The sequence below is a fragment of the Homo sapiens genome, chromosome 20 (assembly GCF_000001405.40).
Source record: "Homo sapiens chromosome 20, GRCh38.p14 Primary Assembly".
In the NCBI taxonomy this organism is placed as follows: domain Eukaryota; kingdom Metazoa; phylum Chordata; class Mammalia; order Primates; family Hominidae; genus Homo; species Homo sapiens.
Window position 1 is genome coordinate 4311835 of NC_000020.11, and position 3445 is coordinate 4315279.

The following is a 3445-nucleotide window of genomic DNA, read 5'->3' on the forward strand; positions in this document are numbered from 1 at the left end:
TTGTGTAGATCTTAGTTCTTGCTCTAGGTATTGACAGAGAAGGAGCACCATCATCTCAGACAAACACTGCCACTTTAAGTTCCAGCTCCCTTACTAGCCTCATGCATTTCAAGGAAATCACTTCTCTTCTAACAACAAGCAGCCAGAAAGAGCAGACAGTAAAACACAGATAAGACAGCTTGGACACAGAAAGAGGTGGGGGAAAAGTCTCTTGGGTAACTGCCAAACTTCACCCTCATACAATGGGCCCCAGTAAAACAGTGGGCCTTAATAAGTACATTCCTTTCCCTTCAGGTGCACTAAGCTAGGGAAGCTAAGAGACTCAGGGGATATGCCTGCAGCTGCAGAAAGATGTATGGGAACAGACACACAACTCTCCCTCCCAAATAAGCACAACAAAGAAACACAGAAGCAGGCCAAGCATCTAATAAACTCTCCCACCCCAAATCCTTAAAAACTCTTAGTCTGTAAAAAAGTGTGCCTCTGACCTAACTCAGCCAAATGCCTCTCTCAGGTTTGTTTTCTCTAAAATAAACCTGTCTTAACTGGCAATCCACCTTTCGTGTTTCTTTCCTTCTTCTTTAATTCTTACAGGTATTACATTATATATACCTGATTATAACAGTTTCCCACTGTCAACATTTTACCAGCTTGAATGAGTACAGCAGTCTTACCTCCTATATTTCCCATTACCCTCTCCCACTTATAATCGTCTTAAATATTTCCTCTACATTCTTTGAGAATCATATTGAACAGTTATAATTTTCACTTCAACTATCAAAGATACTTTAGAAAACCTGAGAAGAAAAGTCTATTGTATTTACCCAAATTTTTGCTCTTATGTCCTTTATTCATTCCTGATATTCCAAAATTTCTTGATTTATCAGTTCCTTTCTGTTTAGAGAACTTCCTTTAGCTATTCTTTTAGGGTAGATCCACTGGCAAAAAATTCTCTTAGTTTTCTTTCATCTGAAAATGTCCTGATTTCTCCTTCATTCTTGAAGGAACTATCACTGATTATAGAATTCTGGGTTGACAATTCTTTTCTTCAGCACTTGGAAAATGTTGTGTACCTTCCTTCTGGCCTTCATGGTTTCTGATAGGAAATCTACTGTCATGTGAATTGTTTTTCCCCTGTAAGCAATGAATGACTTCTGTCTGGCTGCTTTCAAGATTTTTTTCTTTGTCTTTAGTTTTCAGAAGTTTGAATATTATGCATCATGCTGTGGATTTCTTTGGATTTGTCCTGTTTGGTGTTCTCTTATCTTCTTGAATCTGTATGTTTATGTTGTTTGCCAAATTCAGGATATTTTCAGCCATTATTTCTTTGAACACTTTGTAAATCCTACCCACTTTCTGCTTGCCTAGTGGGACACTGATGACATCAATCCTAAATCTTTTGTTTTAGTTCCACACATCCCTGAGAGTCTGTTCTTTATTTGTGTGTGTCTTATCTCAGGAAGTAATTTTGTCTTTCTAGGCTTCATTTCTTCATCTGCAAAATGGGAAAATTAATATCTGCTGTTCAATATCATGATGCTTAAATGACACTGAGTGCTCAATGTTTGTTGAATGAATGAATGAACAAACAAATGAGCAAGCTGATGGATAGAAATTTGCCAGTTTACTTGTCAGCTTTGTAATATTAAGGTAAACACTTTCTCTGGCCAGACTTCCTGATCTCTCCTCTTACCACCTCTAGGTAAAAGTCCCTTGTAGCCTATATCTGCTTTTCTCATACTGTGGGTTTGTTATCTTCTTAGCATGTGGCGGGATTTCCAAGGAGACTAGATCTCCTCCTATCTCATCCTCAGCTTGTCAGATGCTGAATAAATGGTCACCAACTACTGTGTGTCCTATTTGGCCAAAATGACTTCTGAATGCTGGTGCGGAGAGAGCAGAGGGCAGGCCTGAGATGAGCTATTGGGAGTTGGACTGTGGGGACAGCTTCCACCCCAGCCACCTCAAAATCTTGTGCTTGTGTCTTTGATATGGAAGCAGCTTGCAGTGGTGATATGCTAACATACAAGTGGGGTGAAGGCAGGAGAGTCCAGGGACCAGCTTAAGAATCAAACACACAGGGCCAGAAGAGAAAATAGGCAAAAGTTTAGCTTCGTTGTTTTTTTTTTTTTTGAGATGCAGTCTCGCTCTGTCATCTAGGCTGGAGTGCAGTGGCTCAATCTCGGCTCACTGCAACCTCTGCCTCCTGGGTTCAAGAGATTCTCCTGCCTCAGCCTCTGGAGTAGCTGGGACTACAGGGGTGTCCCACCACGCCCGGCTAATTTTTTGTATTTTTAGTAGAGATCATAATGATAGCCAGGATGGTCTCGATCTCCTGACCTCGTGATCCACCTGCTTTGGCCTTCCAGAGTGCTGGGATTACAGGCGTGGGCCACTGCACCCAGCCTAGCTTGTTGGTTTTATTGGGCAACTGATGAACTATTGTGGACTAGACTGGGTTTGATTTATGAGTGGGGTAGTACATTTATTGTGCTTCCTGAGTACTCAGTGACCTCTTATTTCTAAGTACAGTCAAGTCTTTACCAATCACACACAAAAGTACATTTGATAGAGGTTGTAAGTGGTTCAGCAAATTCAGTTCCATTTCTGGGGACAGAGCTTGGATCTCATGCTGTGATGAATTATTATGATATCTTCTTTAAGTATGAGAAGAGTATGCATAAAACGATCAGGTCTTCCATGCCCGTGGGCCCTTTTAAGGGAGATTGTATCACCGTCGGTGATAAGAGATACAGGCATCAGCTGTGGACCCCCAACAGACCCAAGGGTAGACAATGTACAGGCTGGTCATGAGAAAATGTGTGCATGAGGCTCTGCTTAATGAAATGAGGTGAATAATTAGGACAATCTGACAATCTCTCCATAGAATGTCACCAGGAAGTCAGAGAAAAAAACAGCCAATAAATAGTAAGGGAAAAAATAAGAAGATAAAAGGAATGAGAGAAGCAGAGACCAAATGAGAGACTGAGTTATATCAATGGTGGAGAACTCTTTGTGTTGAGGGGATCACCATACAACTCAGTTCCTGAAGCTGCCTCTCAGTCCTTTTGAATGGATCTCTGTCCCTTTGCTATGATTAAAAGAACTTGCTTTGCATAGGAAATTTACCAATATGGGATCGCTAGCCAAATCAATCAGTAAGGCCATTCTTAAGCCAGTGCTTCTGGGATTTGAATGTGCATACAGTTCACTTGGGGATCTTGTTAAAATGCACCTTCCAATTCAGTAAATTGGGGTGGGGCTTGAGATTCCAGTTTCTAAAAGCTCCCACCTGAGGCTGATGCTGCTGGGTTGGTGGACCACACTTTGAGAAGCAAGGGCCTGAACAAACACCACACACACATGCATGTGCACACACACACCATTCATCACCAATTAAAAGATTTGGCACAGAAGGTATCTGAAGTCCCACGGAAAACCACTA